Source organism: Homo sapiens, chromosome 8, assembly GCF_000001405.40.
Source record: "Homo sapiens chromosome 8, GRCh38.p14 Primary Assembly".
NCBI lineage: Eukaryota > Metazoa > Chordata > Mammalia > Primates > Hominidae > Homo > Homo sapiens.
The window spans coordinates 56,972,334-56,994,611 of record NC_000008.11 but is presented as its reverse complement, the minus strand read 5'-3'; the positions used below and the strand labels follow the sequence as shown (position 1 = coordinate 56,994,611).

Here is a 22,278-nt window from a genome sequence, read left to right as displayed (position 1 = left end):
CAAAGATTACATGTTCTAGACTGACCATCTCCGGATAACCTCTATTTTAAGTGGACTCTGTCAAGCAATTCCTCTTCTTAAGCTCTGGTAGGAGAGCCAGGCTCGAGTACCCTTGGAAATGAGAGAAGCCTGGTTTGCTTTCTTTCATTATGAAAAACCCGGATCAAGGCATGTTTTTCAGCTGCTTCGAGGATGGTTTATTCTGGCAGGTGGAGGAGAGAAACTCTATACACACATAAGCATTTAGGGCACGACAAAGATGTCAACAGAATGAAGAGCCAAGTACAATTCTTCCCCTCACCGCCCAGTTCCCCGTCCTGCCGGGAAGAGCGCGGAGAAGCGACTTAAAGGTACAGGCTGTCTACACCCCCGCTGGCTAAAAAAGCTTGCAAATCAATCTTTTAAAATGGTTTATTGTGTTTTCCTCCATTCCTCAATAATCTGAGAGTGATGAGAAGACTAGACTGTTACTGTGGGTTTATTACAGCCAGCCATAGTCGTACAATGGGATATTTAATTTAAACACCCACAAGGCACTCAGCACAGCACACTGTCCTGTGCGGATTGCTGCTCGCCACTTCCAGGAATACCTTCCCACCCAGACCAAGGAAGGCAGCTCAGTCCAGCGCCTCCTGTCCCGCCCCGCCCCGCCCCAAGGGGAGGTGCCCAGCTCTCCCCGCCCCTCGCCCTCGCCCTCGCCCCGCCCCGTCGCGTAACCCGGATACACACCCACGCTCCCCTTTCACCTCGCGGCCGTAGGCTAACGTGGAAGTCGGACCAGCCGGCCGGCGGAAGAACCTAGAGCGCGCTGCCTGGCGAGTCAGGCGCGCGGGGCGGCGTTGGTGGTCTTCGCGGCGCAACTCGGCCTTTCCTGGGAGGGAGTGATGGGGCGCACCGGGGCCGGGGAGCGGGCGCCAGTGTAGCCCGCGCGGCGCCTGGCCCGGAGCGCGGCGGCTGCGGCGGCGGCGGCGGCGGGCGCTGGAGGCCTGTGAGAGCCGCAGCCCGGAGCGCCCGGCTTCCCACGCCATGGCCCCCATGGGCATCCGCCTTTCCCCACTGGGGGTGGCAGTGTTTTGCCTGCTGGGGCTCGGCGTGCTCTACCACCTCTACTCGGGCTTCTTGGCCGGCCGCTTCAGCCTCTTCGGCCTGGGCGGCGAGCCTGGCGGCGGCGCGGCGGGGCCCGCGGCCGCGGCCGATGGGGGCACCGTGGACTTGCGCGAGATGCTGGCTGTGTCAGTGCTGGCCGCAGTCCGCGGCGGCGACGAGGTGAGGCGCGTCCGCGAGAGCAACGTCCTCCACGAGAAGTCCAAGGGGAAGACGCGCGAGGGAGCCGAGGACAAGATGACCAGCGGCGACGTGCTGTCCAACCGCAAGATGTTCTACCTGCTCAAGACCGCCTTCCCCAGCGTCCAGGTGGGAGCCCACGGGCGGAGCGCCCACTCGAGCCGGGTAGCGCGTCTCGGCCCGTCGACTCTTAACAGTATGGGATGTGGAGCTTCTGGTTCCATTTTGTAGATGTGGAAATTGAGACGCAGAAGTTAACGTGCACAAGGTCAGACAGACAGCAGAGGAGCTGGGTGAGGTTGCACGTAGTCTGACTCAGGGCCCGTGCCCTTTTGGCTCGTCCTGGGTCGGGTGTGCGCCGTGTGTACCTGGGATCAGAAGGCCTTGAAACGAAAAGGCTGACAAAGTTAATTGCACCCGCAGCTTCAGGCTCCTCTGTAGAATTAAGGGGTTGGCTAAAATCCACCAAGACTCTCTATCCTTCCTTGATTTCATCCCTAGAAGGGTCGAAACTGGAGTACACATTTTCTGGGTGGCCTGCCAGTAGCCAGCTGAAAGACCGAGTCTTGTTGCAGAGCTGTTAGTGTGCGGGGCATTTGTGTGTGCGTGTGTGCGCTCGCGGGAGTCGGGGTGGGGGGGTGGGGGATGAGTATGCTCATTTCGCTGTCTTTTTGTCAGGACGCTCTAAAGTTTATAGTTTGCGGGCCCTTTAAGGAGGTACTTAGAAATATACCAGCTGTTGGTCCTACCTGGCCCTTGATTAAAGATCCATATTTACTCCAGAGAATAAGAATTAAATAACATTTGGCTTTTCTTTGGGTAGGTTTCTGGGAAGGGAGTTGACATTTTCTTAAGGAAATCCAGACATTTTGGATTTGTTATTAATACTTTTTGAATTCATCATTTCACTGGAGCTGCTATTGAGTTGAATAAAGCATATTTAAAATTTGCAGTTCCAGAAACTGCAAATTTTGTTGAGGAAGAGCTCAGCATAGCGTAGCAGCACCTTATTAACGTATATCTTAACTCACCTAACTGTAGTTTTGGCTACTGGGAAGAAAAATTGTCTTCACTGGAATTTTATTAGATAAACAGTGATGTGCAAACCCAGGCTTCTTTGGAAGGTGACTGACCTTTTACTGCTGATCTTGAAAGAGTTAGGAGAATATTGTCATTGTTTAGTTATGTATTTTGCATAAGGCTTCTTCCAGTCTATCATAATATTGCTTTGGTTTTGTTTTTTATTCTCCTCTCTTCCTCCCTTTTCTTTCGTCTTTTTCTTTTTCCAGTGGAAAGGAACATTGTATTTCCTAACATGAGCTACTGGATACCAGATGTAATTAACGTTAGAATTTTTTTTTTCAAATTTCTACTTAAAACACAGAATATTTCCACTTTTTCTTCTTCCCTACTCTGTTTTTATCATCACAAATAATACTTAAATTTTTTTGCATCTAGATGTAAGGTGTGTTTATGAAATATTTTACCCCCTTTCCAAAACATACGTGTTTCCTTCCCCAAGAATTTATAGAGGAAACAGGAGATTCAGAGAAGTTGCTATTTAATGGTTATAACAGTACTAATAATAACCATTTATTGAATATATTTTACATGCCCAAATACTGGCTACACAGGACTTCATTTGATCCTTAACAGCAACTTTAAGAAGTAAATTTTATTTCTGCCTACTATACAAACGGGAAATCTGAGGCTCGTGACACTCCAGCTTATATGAACTATCCCACATTTTAGCTAGATTTTTAGAAGGCTATTTAAAACTTATAATTGTAGAAGCTTAAAAGCAGTAATAGTGAAATACAGCAAGCAGAGTTGATTTTTCTTTTTTTAAGTAAAAACAAAAGTATCTTAAATGTTGAAAACACATCTGTATGTGTGTGCATTCTCATTTATTAGCAAACAATAAGGGAATGGCTGCCAAGGGCAGTGAGCTGCATTTTATTAACATAAAAGCTAAGCTTTTGGAATTGCAGATGTTGAAGTCTCTGGCTTAATATAAAACAACTTCTTGTTTTCTTGTGACTATTTGAATGTTTGCATGTGCTTCTGTAGTATTCATGTTGGGTCATGACTGAAGGAATAGAAGAGGTTTGTGATCATTTATACAGTGTCAAAGTAGGGATGGTGTCATGTTGAGCGATCTCCTTATACCCCTGTGTTATAGGCTAGAGGCCAAATATTGTAGCCAACTAAGTGGAGAATCAACCTAAAAGGAGTCTTTCTCCTTTTTTGCCTTCCCCTCTCCTAATGCCCAGAAGTACAGTCTTAAATCCCTGGTTAATTTTGAAGCCTCACCCCAAATTTCTTGGTAAGAAACTTAAATTATATCCCACTTAGTTTACTTCCTAGTGGAAAAAGACCATTGAGAAGCAACAGATACTTCTTTCTTTTATCCTAGTGCCCTATGTAAATGTAGAAAGATCTGTTTTCTCCCACTACTTTCCTATGTAGAGTCTGAAGTCTGAGCTTTCGTATGTAATGTTCACTCCTCAGTAAAAGGATATACCAGGGGTTATCCTAGAGCACTCAACTGGAGACAGTTTTGTCCCCTAACTGACATTTGACAACGTCGGAAGACATTTTTGATTGTCACAACCAGGGGTGGGATGCTACTGGCATCTAGTAGGTAGAGGGTAAACATCCTATAATGCACAGGACAGCCCCCTATGACGAAGAATTATCTGCTCCATTTGTCAATTGATGCCCAAGTTGAGGAATCATACTCCAGAGAAGTGAGTGCTATCCTAACAAAACTCAGATTTCACCTAGGCTCCCTGGATTTCCTTTTGTCTTCAGTTTTCTTCAGGTTAGAGATCCCAGAGAGTCCTCTGGGCAGCTAGTCTCCTCTTCCTAAACACTTTGGCAATGCTTGACTTCATTGTGTCAAAGTAATAGTAACTCCAGCCATTTGTATGGCACTGTCTCTTTATCCTTGCAGGTAACAATGAAAATGAAGGCTGAAGATACTTTTGTGGAGTGGGTTTGCAGCCACAGAACAGACAAACTGAGATTTATAGTTTTGATTTAATGTACAGGGGACTGTCTGTTTGAGGGGCTCCTGTCCTCAACTTGATTTGTTCAAAGTTTTGACAATGACTTATTTGAAGGTAAAGCATGGTACTCCAAGCTGGTAGCAGCCACTTGGGTCTGTGCCTTCCTTGACCTATAAGATGGAAGTTAAGCTTCTCTCTTTCAACAGAAGTATGTCCCAGAAAAGTTTGAGAAGCACTAATATAGTGCACAGAGCACTTGCATTGACATGTTGTGCAGTCACCAGCCTAGGTGGTACTGGCCAGTCATTTAACTTTTTTGAGCCATAGTTTCCTCTTCTGTAAAATCAGAATAACTAGTAATTGGTGTAGACATAAGCACTGAAAACAGAGGAAAAGAATCTAGTTCAAAGGAACAGGCCCAAGAGAGATAGTAGGACAGCTAATTCTTGTAATCTAATGAGTTTGAGTAAAATGCACTTGGGAGAATTATTGTGGAAGAGATTGGAAAGGTAGGTAGGGGCTAGGTCATATTCCAAGCTCAAAGGAATTTGGACCTAGTCCATGGTTTACTAGTAGAATACTAAAAGAAGGCCAGATTTAGCTGACTTTTCTTGAGGCCTGCAATAAGCCATACTTTGGGCTTTGGGCATTTGGAGGTAGATAGGAACTAGTTAGAGACTGTTAAAACAGGCCATGGGAGAGATGAGGACCAGGACTCAAGCAGTGGGGAAGTTATGCTGAGCTTGTTTTACTAGCTAACATTTGCATAGCCTTCTGCAAGCCACAAAAATTGAATTAAACTTCTTAATGACATTATTAATTTTATCTTCACAACAACAAAGGAGGTTAAGTACTACAGCCTCTGTTTTTCAGATAAAGACTTGGAGAGGCTAAATAATTTGCCAAAGATTGTCCAGCTAGAATTTTTTTTTTTTTTTTTTTTTAAAGATGGTGTCTCGCTCTGTCGCCCAGGCTGGAGTGCAGTGGCACAATCTCAGCTCACTGCAAGCTCTGCCTCCCAGGTTCATGCCATTCTCCTGCCTCAGCCTCCCAAGTAGCTGGGACTACAGGTGCCGCCACCACGCCCAGCTAATTTTTTGTATTTTTAGTAGAGACGGGGTTTCACCATGAGAATAATCTTAGAGTCACTGAGATTGACATAATGGTCAGAGAATCATCTCAGGTCTGTCTAATTCTCTATATAAGGCGGTATAGCAGATGTAACAAGTATACTCTTAACTACAGTGTTAAAAATGAATGGAAGGACTCAGAGTAGTTGCTTGGAGGATGGTTTGGAGGGGAGCAAAGTAAATACAGGGAGACCAGTTAGGAGGCCCTTTTTCAGGTGAGAGCTTATATCTTTTGAATTAGGGTTATGGTTGTAGAGAAGATAGATGTAGAAGGAAGTGAAAGAATTTTTAGGGATATGTCAAAAATAACTCCTCTGTAGCTTTCACAATTGGGGTTTTGTTGCTGGTGAAGGGGAGTGGTGGTTAAGTTGGAGGACAGATTATGAATGCCATTTTAGACTTGCTATGTTAGAGATGCCTTTGATATGTCCAAGGTTAGCTGTCAAAGAGTCAGTTGAATATATGAGTCTGAAGGTCTGAAGAAACATCTGAACTGAAAATACAAATCTGCGAGTCATCGGTGTTGTGATGTTAATTGAAACTGGTTGTGGACAGAATTGGTTAGGGAGAGAATATAACATGAAAGGGGAATATCAGGGCCTAGAACCAAGGATAATGAAGACTGAAAACAATCATTTAACAAGAATAGTAGCAACCAACCTTTATTAAATGCTTACTCTGTGTTAAGCACTGTACTAAGTTTGTTTTACCTTTTCTCTTTCAGTCTTCTTAAGAACCTTACAGGGAGCTAGATCATTGTCCCTTTTTACCAATGAGGTAATTGTAGCTCAGAAAGTTTAGGTGACTAGCCTAAATTATTCATATACCCAATAAATTGAGGAGTTGGCATTTGAACTCAGGCAACCTATGATTAGGAGGTGAGGAAATGGAGACTGTGAGTAAAGACAAGTTTTGTGAGAAATTGGGCTTTTAAGGAAGTTGGCTGGGGTGTTAGGTGTATTATGTTTCCTAAGAGAAGGTTCTGTGCTTTCTTTTTGGTATATTTGTTTTTAAGATATGAGACACTACAGCATGTTTAATTGTTTATAGAGCTATATTTGAAAGACAATAGTTGATAGTAAAAGGTTTCTGTAAAGGTGGGAAGAGAATAGGACAGGTAGAGGTACGTTTATTTATATGTTTAGAAAATAGTTATTGAGGCCTGGCGTGGTGGCTCATGCCTGTAATCCCAGTACTTTGGGAGGCCGAGGCGGGTGGATCATGAGGTCGGGAGATTGAGACCATTCTGGCTAACACAGTGAAACCCCATCTTTACTGAAAATACAAAAAATTAGCTGGGCGTGGTGGCGGGTGTCTGTAGTCCCACCTGCTCGGGAGGTTGAGGCAGGAGAATGGCTTGAACTTGGGAGGTGGAGCTTGCAGTGAGCCGAGATCACACCACTGCACTCCAGCCTGGGTGACAGAGCAAGACTCCATCTCAAAAAAAAAAAAAAAGAAAATAGTTATTGAATGCCTACTGTATTGGTCAGGGTTCTCCAGAGAAAGAGAACCAATAGAGATTTATTATAAGGAATTGGCTCGTGTGATTAAGGAGGCTGAGAAGTCCCTTGATCTGTCAGCTGGAAACCTGCAAGCTGGAAACCCAGGAAAGCAAGTGATGTGATTCAGTCCAAGTCCAAAGGCCTGAGAACCAGGAGAGCTGGTGGTGGTAGTCTCAGTTGGAGGGCAGGAGAAGACTGATGTTTCAGCTCAGCAGTAAGGCAGAAGAAGGGGCAGTCTTTCTTCTCCCTCCTTTTGTTCTATTCACACTCTCAAAACATTGAATGCTGCCCACCCACATTAGAGAGGGCAGTCTGTTTTATTGAGTTCACTGATTCAAATGCTAATCTTATCCAGAAACACCCTCACAAATACAACCAGAAATAATGTTAGCCAAATCTCTGGGCATTCCATAATCCAGTCAAGTTGCCATATCACACCTATGGTATGATAGGCACTGTGTGAGGTTAGGATATAATGATTTATGGAGAAATGAAGTAAATGATCGATTCCTTCTTAAGGCATTAACCAGAAGTCCCTTCAAACCCCAAAGTAACTGAACTAGCATACTAATGGCATTGATTGTGTTTGGGGGCCTTGAACTTTGACAATACTGATGGAGAATAGTTTCCTTCCCCTTTCTGGAATTTAAAAGACTAGCCTAAATACACTTATGTGTGTATATGTATTATATGTATATGTATATGTGTGTGTATATGTCCATATAATTAAATAAAATCTTTAAATAGACAAACTTGTCTTAAGAACCTTTGTATAGCTGGTTCCCAACTTAAGATGGTTCAACTTAGGATTTCTTTACAATGGTGCAAGAATGATATGCACCATTCATTGTAAAGAAACTATACTTGTAGTACCCATACAACCATTCTGTTTTCCAGTTTTAATAGAGCAGTCAATAAATTACATGAGATATTTAACACTTTATTATGAATTAGGCTTTGTGTTAGATGATTGTGCCCAACTGTAGGCTAATGTTAGTGTTCTGACTACATTTCAGGTTGGCTAGGCTATGCTGTGATGTTTGGTAGGTTAGATGTGTTAAATGTATTTTTGACTTCAGATATTTTCAACTTATGCAGTACAAATGCTTCTCAATTCACAATGGGTTTATCAGGACGTAACCCCATTGTAAGTTGAGGAGCATTTGTATTACATAAGCATTTGATTCCTGACCCCTGACTTGGTTGTACTAATTTTAAGGTATTGTTTAGCATATAGATTAAACATTTTCTGTCCTCACAATTACGGAACACTCCTACTATTCTGTACCTATTCTCATCTAATGCTGCCTCATTTAAGCTGTGCTTTCCCTTCAGATCTGTACCTAGCTATTACTATTTTATCCCCCAAATTATTTTTCCTATTTCCCCTACCTCCCATCCAGTAACAGCAATGTTTTTTTTGTTTTGGTTTGTTTTTTCTCAGAGTTCCTGATGCAAGGTTGAGGTTTAAAGGAAGAGACTCAAATTAAATTGATTCACACGTGTGAATTTCTTCTGGCTCTTAAACTACTTAGGAGTATTTACTTTTATAAAAGGGAAAATGCATTAGTCAGGAAAGACTGAGTAGGAAATGCTGTAGTAACGACATCCTCCAATTCTCAGAAGCCTGACACTCTCCAAAGCAGTTGTCCTCCATGTAGTGACTGTGACCTAGTTGATGTTGATATGTGATTCTGCCATGTCAACATAGCAGGGAAAGAGAAGAGATTGGAGAATTGGGCAGGAGCTTTCTTTTTATTGCCTAAGCCAGAAAGTGATGCGCATTCACATTTTTGTCCATATTTTGTACATCTACATTTTTGTCTATATTCTGCTGGCCAGAATCACTCTCATTTGCCTCTAACTACAAGGCACATGGGAAGTATAGCCTTCCAGATGTTCAGGAAGGAAAAGAAAAGTGGACATTGTGAGTACTAGAAATGCCTACACAGAAGGCAAGTTAACCTAAAGAAATCCCTACTTGCTATACATAGAGGCTAACAAAAGGATCTGAGAATGTTTTGATAATTGCCAGGTGTAGGTGGAGACTGCAAGATGAGCTATTATGTATCAGCATAGACCAAGATCAGTTTAGTGTTTTCTGATTTCTAGAACCTTTTTATGCTTACCCTTCTAAAATTATAGGTTCTCTAAAAGCTGCATTGTTCATTCCCACCATAATGGGCTTCTTTGGGAGTGATTGGCTGGGTGTCGGGAGGGGGCAGGGATTGGCCAGGGCTGTTAGTAGGTATGGGTTTTTGGAGCTTGGGTTGATTTCTTATGCTTCAATTCCCTGTTGAGGTCTTTGACAGGTAGTAAGGATGAGGAAGGAAGAGTAGGTTGAGTGGAAGAGGATTATGGGGAAGAAATGAAAAACTACAGTGGCTGAGAATAATATTGTCAGTTAAGATGTATTTATTGAGTACCTACTTTGGTTTAGACAATGGGGATGGAGCTACAGTAATGAAGAAAATTTGTGTCCTTGCACCCACAGAATTTACGTTCTAGCTGATCAAGATAGTAAATGTAAACAAGTAACGTGGTTTCTGATAAGGGCTTTGAAGAAGAAAAAATAGGGTCATGCTGGGAGAGTGTCTGGTGGTCCTTCTTTATCAATGGTAGTCAGGAAAGGCCACTTTGAGGCAGTCTCATTTGAGCCGAGACCTTAATAAGAACCAGGATGTCATGCAGAGATCTGGGAAAGCGTGTACAAGCAGAAGAATACAGTAAGTACAAAGGCCCTGAGGCTGAGTGACCATGAGAAGACTAGTAAGTCTGGGGTACAGTAAATAAGGGTGCAAACAAGAGAGAGATTACGGGATAGCACTTACTGCTGTCATTACCCAGATCATCTGGAACTTAATGTTGTAGATTATGATAAGGAGTCTGGATTTTATCTCTGCATAATGAGAAACCATTGGAAGGTTTTAAGCTAGGGTGCCACGGTCTGATTTAGGAAGATGGCAGGTTGCTGGGTTGAGAAGGGAAGCTCTGTAAAAGCAGTGATTTTGTCTGTTTTGTTCATTACTGTATCCCAATGTCCAAAGCAGTTTAGCGTATATAGCCATTAGATGTTGAATGAATGGGTAAATGAATATATTGTAGGAGGTGAGAACAATTGAGGACTATTGTAGAAATCCAGGTGAGAGATGGTGGCCTAAACTAAGATTTTCTTGGTAGACATGATGACATATTTAGAATTGGGAGGTAGAATTTCCAGGACTTACTGACTGATTCGATGTGGCACGCGAGAAAGGATTGAGGAAGACTTTCTGGTGTTGACCATAGCAACTATTGATAAGGTTGTTTACATTGGTGGGTAGTAGATTTTTCAGATTTGTAGGTATGTAGTGGTTGCGGCCGGTTATAAATAGCAGTTACTCAAAAGCAGATTAGGTATTTGTGCTAATGTTCTTGTTCTCCTGCTGTTTCTCCCTAACCCGATTCTCAGTGAAGATCTTTTCAAATACTGTTCTATAATGTGTTCGCTCATACTCAGCTGCAAGTACATGGAGAAGCTGACTTGAATTGTGCAAAAAATCAGTGAAGCTCAGTAGTTGCCAGACTTGGCACTGCCGTTTTGTAAGCTACAGTGGTTAAGGCCCATAAGCTACTTCGTCTTTTCTAGGAGTCATGTTTCTTTTTTTTTTGAAGTTTATTCCTTTTTGCATGGTGTTACTGTTATCTTCATTCATCTGAGGTAGTCTGGCATTGTTGTTAAGAGTGGTTTCTGAAGCCAAAATGCCTCACCAGTGCCACACTGTCTTAATTATTCTGGTCTTGATATCTGGTAAGGTAAGTCACCACACCATGATGGTATTTTTTTTCCCCTCTTCCCAAAATGTTGTGTTGCTTCTTGACTTTTTGTTCTACCATGTAATTTTCAGAAATGCCTTGTCCAGTTTCCAAGGAGAAGGTTAAAAAAAACCAACAACAACAAAAAACACTGGGGATTTTGATTGGAGTTGCATTTATCTGCAAGCTCTTTTAGATTTTCTCAGTGCTCAATAATCAACTTCATATTATGGATTGGTTTTTCTTTCTAAACTTTGTACCTCCCCACTTGCTCCTCTCCCCCTCCCTTTAGCTTACTGCAATGACTAGGACCCTCTGCACATTGTTAATAGCTGTTATGATGGAGGGCAACTGGCTCTGTGTTGCAGCCTGCGAGGTCCTTCACCATCTGGCTTCCATTACTCTCTGACCTCAGCTCCTTAGCCTTTCTCCTTGGCTCACTCTGCTGTAGCCTTGCTGGCCTCCTTGCTGCCCTCTGAACACACCAGGCACATTCCCACCTTAGGATCTTTTCATTTGTTATTTATTGGGCTAGAATGCACTTCTAGATGCCTGCCAGGCTTATTTTCTTTAGATCTCTTCAGTCAAATACCACCTTTTCAGTGAGGGGCTTCTCTAGCTACATTACTTTTTTTTCAAAACAACTTCATTGCAGCATAGTTTTTATATCTTACAATTTGTCTATTTCAAGTATACAATTCAGTAATTTTTAGAACTGCCAAATTGTACAACTATCATCATTAATCAGTTTTAGAACATTTTCACCACCCTAATAATACCCCTGACCCCATTAACTGTTTATTCTTGTTTTTATCCCTTATCCCAGGCAACCACTAATCGGTCTTTCTCTATAGATTTGCCTTTCCGGACATTTTACATTAATGGAATCAAACAGTATATGATCTCTTGTATGTTGATGCTTTCACAAAGCAAGGGGGTTCATCCATGATTTAGCATGATCAATACTTTATTCGTATATATGGCTGAGTAACTTTCCATTGTATGGATATACCAAATATATTTATCCATTCATCAGGGTAATGGATAAACTACTAATTGATGGAATTAGTAGTTTTCTGATTTTAGCCATTATGAATAATTGCCTAGCCACCCTTTCTTAATACTATCTACCCCTTTTTCTTAAAGAATAACCCTTCCACTACTCTCTAACAGTCCTTTCTCTACTCTCCAACAACACTCTTTCTGTCCTTTTGGTCTTTATTTTTTCCTCCTTATCACTATCCAGCATACTACATGTTTTTTCATGTGTCTCGTTGTTTATCTATACTAGAATCTAAGTTCCACAGGGCAGAAATTTTTGTCTCACATTGATCACTGTGGTATCTTTAAGACCTGTAACTGTGTCTGTCATATAGTAGGCAATCAATAAGCATTTGCTGAATTAATAAAGACATAAGTGAATAAATTGAATGTTTACTTTGCTCTGTACTGAGAAATATTTAAAGATTTACCAGGCGCGGTGGCTCATGCCTGTAATCCCAGTACTTTGGGAGGCCGAGGCGGGCAGATCATGAAGTCAGGAGATCGAGACCATCCTGGCCAACACGGTGAAATCTCGTCTCTACTAAAAATACAAAAATTAGCTGGGTGTGGTGGTGGGTGCCTGTAGTGCCAGCTACTCGGAGGCTGAGGCAGGAGAATCACTCGAACCCGGAAAGTGGAAGTTGCAGTGAGCCGAGATTACACCACTGCACTCCAACCTGGTGACAGAGCGAGACTCCGTCTCAAAAAAAAAAAAAAAAGAGATATTTAATGATTTAAGCGGTTTGATGTTTCTAGAATATTAGTATTTTTAACCTCTCCTGTGATAATTTGGGGTGTTTCAGGGTACCTTCTGGAGATTGGTGATAGTTATATTTTTTAAAATCATGTCTGTGTCTCTGCAACTTTCTGAAGACTATAGGTGAGAGATGTTGTATTGACAATACTCATGTATTGTCAGTGCTGTAATCGCTTTGGCACTGTAGCGTGGGGTCTAGGCATGGCATCACATGTAGCATAAACATGACCTACTCTGGAAAGGGAGCTTGTCAGAAAGCACAGGACCCAACAGCCTGTCCTGCTGAGAGTGTAAGTCCCTAACTAAAATCAAAATTTTGGGGACATTTTTTCTTGTGTGTGTGTATGATGATGTGATAGAAGTCTCATGGTGAGGCAGTATTCATATAAGATTGATGATCTGTTATTAACTTAATTCTTAAAGAACACTCAATTCTTAGATTTAGTCAATTGGTATATGCCAGTTTACAAAAGTAAATGCAGTTCTAAAACATTTTTTTATTATTATTTATTTTTTGTTTTTTTTGAGATGGAGTCTTGCTCTGTCGCCAGGCTGGAGTGCAGTGGCGTGATCTTGGCTCACTGCAACCTCCACCTCCAGGGTTCAAGTGATTCTCCTGCCTCAGCCTCCCGAGTGGTTGGAACTACAGGCACGCACCACCATGCCTGGCTAATTTTTGTATTTTTAGTAGAGATGGGGTTTTACCATGTCGGCCAGGATGGCCTTGATCTCTTGACCTCGTGATCCAGCCGCCTCGGCCTCCCGAAGTGCTGGGATTACAGGCGTGAGCCACCACACTTGGCCAAAACATTATTTTTAAAACACTGTTTTACAAATTAGACTAATTTTAGGATGCATTAAGAAGCACACTGTTGAAAACAGTGTTTTTTACATAGGATGGGACAGGGGCGCACTTGACAATGTCCGGAGACATTTTTGTTTGTCACACCTGAGGGTGTTGTTGCTGGCATCTGGTGCGTTCTAGTGGCATTCAGCCAGGGATGCTGTTAAACATCCTACAATGCACAGGACAGCCCCACAACAAGGAATTATACAGTCCAAATTGTCAGTCGTGCCAAATTGAGCAATCTCAATTTAAAGGAATCTGTAATGTGTTTGTAAATGAATAGAATACTTACATAAAGTATTATACAAACACATGTATATATATGTTATATGTAGAAATAATATATAATATATATTATACAGAGAGAATATATATGTGTAAGGGGGGTTTGTGTGTGTGTGTGTGTGTGTGTGTGTGTGTGTATATGTATGTATGTAAGGGTGTGGGGTAAGGAGAGAATATATTCCTTAAGGAGAGAATATATTCCTCTATTCTCGTAACAACCCTTCCTCTACTTATATTTCTCTCCTTACCCCACATCCTTACATATCTGTATGGTAAGTTAAATTTATTTTATCTTTTAATTTTGTTCCTTAGTTAAAAAAAAAAAGGTAGAAAATTTGACTGTACCTCCCTATTCTATGATACGTCTTTCTTCTAACTCTAGTTGCTTGTGTTGTGTTCCAGAATATTGTCTATTTTCACACTTTAGAGCTATTATCTTTCATAAAGCATTGTTAAGGTTTAAGTAGCTTGTTTCTTCAATGCTCAGTTTCTCTATATTTCTCTATATCCGAATTATCTGTCTTGATTAGTCAACAAACCAGGCTTGAATATTAGATTGGGAAGCATTTAAAGACCTGATGTCATGGATTTTTTTTTTTCATTTTCATTTTCATTTTGCAATATGGAGCATCAAAAGAAATAAAAATAGGGATTTACTTATTTATAATTTGGGTGATTGTTGTCTGAAATACTTTTGTAGTTTATCAAATAGTGATTGTTCGTCTTACTTTTTTTAACTGTCACCTGTTTTTAATGCAGATTAATACTGAGGAACACGTGGATGCAGCTGATCAGGAGGTTATCTTGTGGGATCATAAGATTCCTGAGGATATCCTAAAGGAAGTAACTACTCCTAAAGAGGTACCAGCAGAAAGTGTTACTGTCTGGATTGACCCACTTGATGCTACACAGGAATATACAGGTAATTTTTAAACTGAACTCAAAACATTTGATTGACGTTTAGTAGTAGAGAACCAGAACCAAGGCATACTTCCTATAGGTGATAGTGGCTCACTGATTGTTCAGTAAAGAAGCATTTTTAACAGTAGTAGCAAAATGTTTTATATTGGACACCTATAATTGAAGAAACTTCTTTAGCCAGAATTTAATGTTTACTCGGGATGTTAGGAATTTAAGTTTTAATGCATGTACATCTGACTTTGGAATTCAAAATAGTAAATTTCTAGGTACCCAGAAGGCAAGTAAGTAACAAAACAGAACTACTGTCCCTCCAGTCCCCTTTTTTACCTAGTCCTAGTCAGATTTTATTTTTGTAGATCCCCTCTCAGGCCTTGTTTCTTACCCACAGGTAGCTAATTTCTGCCTTTTCACTCTTCATTTGGTTTATATGTTACAGTTTATCTATTTATCCTGATAGATGGTAAGTTCTGTAAATGTGGAGCCTTCTACCTTTTTACCTTTGTATTTCAGTGCTTTTGCACTGAACTTGAACCATAACAATCAATACATAACTTTGGAGAACAGGGAGAAGACACTAGATGTATATATCTAATAGTAACTAAAATTACAGCACAGAACTTTTCAGGAGTAGATAATAGAAATATGGAATATCGAGAAATTTGTTCATAAAAAGTTCTCCTAAACTGAGATTGGCCTGTTCATATAGTAATAACATTTAGTGAGCACATCCCTCGTGCAGGGACTTTCTTAAGCATCTAATTTGATTTTTTTTATTAAAAGTTAATTTATACCTAAAGATGAGTGCTTAGTTATTGTTTATATTATACAGACAAGGAAGCTGAATTTAAGTAATTTACTCAAGGACATTCAGTTAACAAAATGGTGGGCTAGGAGAATAACCCAGGTAATGCCTGTAGAACCAGAACTCTTTTGTTTGTGTGATTTTTATAATATAAAAGGGTCTTGACTCTAAATGCAATTTGTTTTAAAACTTTTAAGTTCAGGAGTACAAGTGCAGGTTTGTTACATAGGGTAAACTTGTGTCATGAGGGTTTGTTGTACAGATTTGTTTCAACACCCAAGTATTAAGCCTAGTATCCATTAGTTATTTTTCCTGATTCTCTTCCTCCTCCCACTCTCTATCCTCTGAAAGGCCCCAGTGTGTGGTGTTCCCCTCTATGTGTCCATGTGTTCTCATCATTTAGCTCCCCACTTAGAGAACATGTGGTATTTGGTTTTCTGTTCCTGTGTTAGTTTGCTAAGGATAATGGCCTCCAGCTCCATCCATGCCCCTGCAAAGGACCTGATCATGTTCTTTTTTATGGCTGCATAGTATTGCACGGTGTATATGTACCACATTTTTTTTTTTTTACCTGGTCTATCATTGATGGGCATTTAAGATGATTCCATGTCTTTGCTATTGTGAATAGTGCTGCAGTGAACATACACATGCATGTGTCTTTATAATAGAATGATTTATATTCTTTTGGACCAGTAATGGGAATGCTGGGTCGAATAGTATTTCTTTCTTCAGGCCTTTGAGGAATTGCCACACTGTCTACCACAGTGGCTTAACTAATTTACACTCCCACCAACAGTGTATAAGCATTCCTTTTTTTCCACAACCTCACTTGCATCTGTTATTTTTTGACTTTTTAATAATAGCCATTCTGACTAGTGTGAGATGGTATCTCATCGTGAACCAGAACTGTTAGCCACTCCTTTAAAGGGGCTCTTGCCCTCAGACTCTGTTTGCTTGAAGGGATTGTTGTTTTGGAAAGATATTTCATGTATATAAATTTTTTAATGAACTAAAGTGTAATATTGTATCTTGAATTTATGCACATTACTTTGACATTTGTGTGTGTTGTTTTGTTTTTTTTCTCATAGAGGATCTTCGAAAGTACGTCACTACTATGGTGTGTGTGGCTGTAAATGGTAAACCCATGCTAGGAGTTATACATAAGCCATTTTCCGAATATACAGGTATGAAATTTGCTAGAACTTTCAAGAATTATTGTTATTGAACTGTTTGTCTATAGTATTTACTGTCATGTACCTAAATTTGTATCCACTCCTATATTAGTTTCCTAGGGCTGCTGTAAGAAAAAAACACAAATTATGTGTCTTAAACAACAAAAATGTAGTGTCTGACAGTTCTGGAGCCTAGAAATCTAAAATCGTGGTGCTGAAACTGTAAGGGAGTATCTTTTTTGTTTCTTTTAGCTTCTGGCAATTTGCCAGCATTCTGTGGTGTTCATTGGCTTATAAGTGTTTATTCCAGTGTCTGCCTCCATCATCATATGGCATTCTCTCTGTGTGTCTGTGTCTCTTCTCCTCTTACAAGCACACCAGTCATATTGGATTCAGCGCCCACCCTACTCTAGTGTGACCTCATCTCAACGTAGTACATCTGCCATGACCCTATTTCTAAATAAAGTCAGATTTCAAGGTGCTGGGAGTGAGGATGTCAACATATCTTTTTGGGGGACACAGTTTAACCATAACAACCCAGAAAGTTAAGGTAAGCATTGAGATGAGATTATACTGGATTAGAGAAGGTTCTTAAGCCAATTAGAGTGTTTTTATAAGAAACAGAAAGGACATAGACACATGTGGGATAAGATGATGTGAAGGTGGAGGCAGAGATTGGAGTGATGTCTTTAATAGGCTAAGGACTGCAGTCACCAGAAGCTAGGAGAGAGCCATGGAAGTTATTTTCCCTCAAAGCCTCCAGAAGAAACTAACCCTGCTGACCCCTTGATTTTAGACTTCTGGCCTTTAGAATTATAAGAAAATACATATATTTTTATAAGCCACCAAGTTTGTGGTACAGATTGAGTATCCATTATCTGAAACGTTTGGGGACCAGAAGTGTTTCACATTGCAGATTTAATGTATTTGCATATATATAATGAGATATATTGGAGATAGGACCCAAGTATAAACATGAACTTTATTTATATTTCATATATAGCTTGTTTACATAGCTTGAAGGTAATGTTATACAACATTTTAAATAATTTTATGGTTGAAGCAAAGTTCTATCTGTGAGCTATCATGAGGTCCAGTATGGAATTTTCCATTTGTGACATCATGTCAGTGCTTTCCTGGATTTTGGAGCATTTCAGATTTTGGAATTTTGGATTAGGGATTCTCAACCTGTAGTTTTTTATGGCAGCTTTAGGACACTGATACAATGGGCATCCCATACTACCATCGTTTACTGCAGTCATCCCCATTGTGTCTTAAGGGCGTGACTGATAATTGCATAAAAAGGCTGTCTGTGAAGTGGGGAGAAATGGAAAGACAAAGTTAATTTTTGATTACTCTAAAATTATGTATTTGTTTTGCTGAATAACTGTGAATCCCAAATTCTGGCTGCTCTGAGATTGGCTAAACATCTATTTGAGTGTTGGCTCTGTGTTTCAAAATCAAGTCCACTTTGTGCTATCTGACCTTTTTTCTTCTTTTCATAATTCAAATAATTTTTAAAGTTGATGGTTTGATAAGCTACAAAAGATTTATGCCATTGCTATGACAATATACTGTAAGATTAATTATATAATTGCTTTATGGCTTATGGATTACCTTCACATATTTTCCTTAATCCTTACTGAATTAGTTAGGATACACACTAGGCCGTTAATTTAGACTGCTGTAATGTACACCAAAATATATGAGGTTGAATACAAAGTAGTTTATTTTTCTCTTCTCTAACAGACAGTATATAAGCAGCCCATGACTGCCAAGGTAGTTCCCTGGTGCCAGGCATGCAGTTCTATCTCTATTGTTGCTTTGCTGTTGTCTTCCTCTGTGTAACTGAGGATGGCTCACCACTTCAGCTGTATTTCACCAGTGGAAAGGGTAAAAGGGGAGACGTGGAGGACATTTCCCACTAAGGGTTTGACTTGTGAAGTCAAACATGCATCTCTTCACCTCACATCCCATTGCTATCTAGAACCTAGTCGCAAAGGAGGCAAAAAAATGTAGTCCTTATTTTCAATGGCCATCCAAACTAAAATGTAGGGATTCTGTCATTGAAGGAAAACAGGGAAAGTGGATGTTGGAGTACAGCATAGTACTGCTACACAGAGAGAGGGACACAGTTACTAAAATCAGTACTCTCACTTACAATTGAGGAAATGAGACTCAAAAATTTAATACCTTCCTCAAGGTCATTCATGTAAATTAGTGGTAGAATCAACCATAGAAATTTTATTCAAATCAGTGTCACACCACTTTCAAAATAATAACTCCATAATTTCTAACATTTATATCGTGTTTAACAATTTGCAGTATACTTAATGTTATCTCATTTGAACCTTTCAGTAACTATGTGACAAGGAAAGACATTATCTTTTTTTATAGATGAAAAAATGGACTTAGGAGCTCCTATCATGAAACCATAAGTTCAAAATGTTACTCTAAGAACTAACCACTCCTTAATAGTATCTTACAATTATTTTGTATTTTCACAGTTTATAAAGTGCATTGACATAAGTTTTTTCAGTCTTCAGTAACTCTGGAAGGAATATAAAATGGAAATTATGACTTTTTTTAATTAAAAAAACAGGCATATAAAAGTTAAAGACAGAGCCTAAGTCTTTGAATCCCTCTTTTTCTTTTGACACTGTCCCTTATTATCTCGCTATATCAGTTAGGATGGCATTTAGCTACACACAGTGTAAATCTGATTACAGTGGTTCAAGAAGGGTTTCTTTTTCTCAACTAACAAGGCCAAAGCGTAGGTGTGCTTTAGTGGCTCCATAATACGTATAAGGATCTGACTCCTCTCTTTTTGCTTTTTTTTCTTAGAAGGTAGCTTTTTGTTTGCATGTTCACAAAGGTGGCTCCTCTCATTTACCACGGTTCTCAGTTCTAGGCAGGAAGAAAGGAGAAAGAAGAGAGACAAAAGGTCTACCCTAGATATTCTTTGTATGAGGAAAAAAATATCTTGAAGTCCTATCCATTAAACCCCTGCTTCATTTTATTGGCCGAATGTCACATGGCACCCTTAGCTGCAAACAGAGCCTGCTATTCCAAAGAGAATTGGAAGCTCAATAAAGGAAATGAGGAAATTGGTATTAGATAGGCAAATAGATTGACATTCTCTGGGCATTGATTTCCACATCTGTACGTATTAGAGGGAAGAATAGGGATAATAAAATGCCCCTTTTTAGAAACCTTTATTTAATAAGAATATATATTCCTCTCTCATCTGTAGGCTTACCCACCTTAAAGAAGCCAAATGTCCCTAACTTAGCAAAAAGTGGTTTCTAAAAATGTCTTTTTAAGTTAGTAATATAATACCCCATTCTTCTGTAATGCGGCTAACTTGCCCAATGTACTGGAACACAAAGGTGCTTGCTAGTCCGCAAACTCTCTAAAATAATCAATACGTTTAGAATTATGTTGGGTTGACCTTCCATTCCCACACTGAATGTTTGCTTGTGCCCTCCTCCTGGAATGTTATTTTCAGATCCAGACGGTATGTTGATGTTGGAGGAATACCAGTTGTTAAGTATCGGTATGTTTACCAGAATTTAGCTACACTTCACTATAGTGGGAACTAGATATTATTGTTGTTGGCAATAAGAGCAAAGCTTATAAAAATTTTTATCAGACTTAATTAGAATTAATTCCTTGAAATTCTTAGAATCAAGAGATACTTGAATAGTATTTTACTGAAGTAATATATAAATGTATAAGTAAGTGTAGTACAGTAGACCCATGAACAGTGCAGGGGTTGGGGCACTGATTGTTGAAAATCTGTGTGTAACTTTTGACTCCTTAAAAACTGAACTGCGAATAGCCTCATTTTGACCAAAAATCTTAACAACATAAATAGCTGATTAACACATATTTTGCATATTTATGATGTACTGTTTCTTACAATAAAGTAAGCTAGAGGAAAGAAAATGTTACTGAGAAAATCATAAGAGCAAATATATGATTGAATAAGAGGGAAATTGCTTATCCTAAAGGTCTTCATCCTCTTTGTCTTCACATTGAATAGGCAGAGGAGGAGGAGAAAGAGAAAGGATTATTAGTTTTGTTGTCTCGGGTGGAGGAGGTGGAAGGAGAGGCAGGATATACTTGATGTAATTTTGTGAAAATATGTTGTAATGTCTGTTTGACTTTTTTACTTTTCATTTCTCTAAAAATTTTACTATATGGTACCAATCCTTCCTTATTTGCTTTAGTTTCAGTGACTGTATCGTAAAATGGTCCATGTCATAAAAGAAGTCAAAAGCAGTCTTGAATAATGAGAACCTTTCTTCCAGATTGTCTAAAATCAATTTATTTTCTGGCACTGCTTCTTCTACATCTTCTTTCTCATCGTCTAGCCCTGGTTTGAAGCACTCATCTCCATCAAGTCGTCTTCTGTTAATCCTCTGGTGTGGTGTCTGTTCACTCTTGAATGTCTCCAAGATCCCTATCTTGAAACCCTCTACGCCCCACCTTTTAAAAATAATATCTGCACTCTCATGATTTTCTTGATTGCCTCTGTTGTAAATCTTGTGGAGACATGCACAACATCTGGACAGTTTTTTCCAGCAGGAACTTATTATTTTGGGCTTGACGAATTCATGGGTTTTCTATAACAGTGGCATCTTTAGTGGTGTAATCCTTCCAGACTTTGAATGATTTTCTCTGTCAGGGTTCTCTACTATTGGTATTGACAGTCCTTTCCATAGAGTACTTTGTATAATGAGCCTTAAAGGTCCTTATGACCTCCTGCTCTAGAGGCTGGATTAGAGACGTAGTGTTTGGGGGCAAGTAAATCACTTGATGCTTTTAGTGTTGAACTCATGGGGTTCTCGGTAGCCAGGGGCATTGTCCAGTACTCAAAGAACTTTAAAAGGCAGTCCCTTACTGGCAAAGTACTTTCAGACTTCAGGGTCAAAGCATCAGTGGACTCAATCCAGAAAAAGGATTCTTGTTGTCCAGGCCTTCTTGTTGTAGTCAGAAGACTAGCAAGCAGCTGGTGTTTTATCTTTTCCTTTCAAGACTCGGGGGTTAGCGGTTTTGTAGATAAGGGCTGTCCTGGTCATAAACCTGACTGCATTATACAAAACAGTAGAGTTAGCCCATCCCTTCCTGTCTTAAATCCTAGTGCTCATTTCTCTTCCTTACTAATAAATGTATTTTGTGGCCCCTTTTTTAAATTTTTTTTTTTTTTCCAGAATAGGACACTTGTCTGCATTGAAAACCTGTTCAAGCAGACAGAACTCAGTGATTTTCTTAATGGCATCTGGGGACTTGTCTGCTGCCTCTTGGTTGGTAGAAGCTGCTACTCCTGTTATCTTGGCATTTTTAAAAACCAGACCTCTTTCTAAAATTATCAAACCATCCTTTACTGGCATTAAATAATCCAGCTTTAGATTCTTCACCTTCCTTTTTTTTAAAGTTGTCATATGACTTCATTTTTTCTTGAATCATACTACAGTCTTTAGGCATGTAGCAGTTTTATACCCACATAATAGCTGCATTTTCAATATGAGATAAAAAGGTATTTCATTAAAAAGTGTTAAGGTTTTTGCACCTGTTGGTGTGTAGCTTCAGCAATGGCTTCATGAGTTTTCTTGTTTTTTTTTTCCCACAATTATTCTTACGCTGTATTCATTTATCTTGAGATAGCAGGCAGCCACAGTTACAGACCTCAATCTGTGGTGTATATCAAGCAATTCAACTTTTT

At 39.8% G+C, this 22,278-nt stretch overlaps 1 protein-coding gene across 2 annotated transcripts in view, besides 1 other annotated feature; it reads left to right on the top strand.

The window, feature by feature from the left end:
• Positions 629–1,188: a silencer, noted in NCBI's record as "silent region_19212". NCBI's record gives its function as "represses an Ori minimal core promoter by ATAC-STARR-seq in GM12878 lymphoblastoid cells {active_cell/tissue: GM12878}" and the evidence as "EXISTENCE:reporter gene assay evidence [ECO:0000049][PMID:35858748]".
• The window catches only part of BPNT2 (3'(2'), 5'-bisphosphate nucleotidase 2), a 35,937-nt gene continuing 14,403 nt past the window's right edge, over positions 745–22,278 (top strand). For both annotated transcript variants that reach the window (NM_017813.5, XM_047421917.1), the window contains exons 1-3: positions 745–1,413; positions 14,415–14,577; positions 16,467–16,562. In NM_017813.5, the coding sequence (NP_060283.3) occupies positions 1,027–1,413; positions 14,415–14,577; positions 16,467–16,562 (646 nt within the window). In that variant the 5' untranslated portion in view covers positions 745–1,026. The remainder of the gene's footprint in view (positions 1,414–14,414; positions 14,578–16,466; positions 16,563–22,278) is intronic.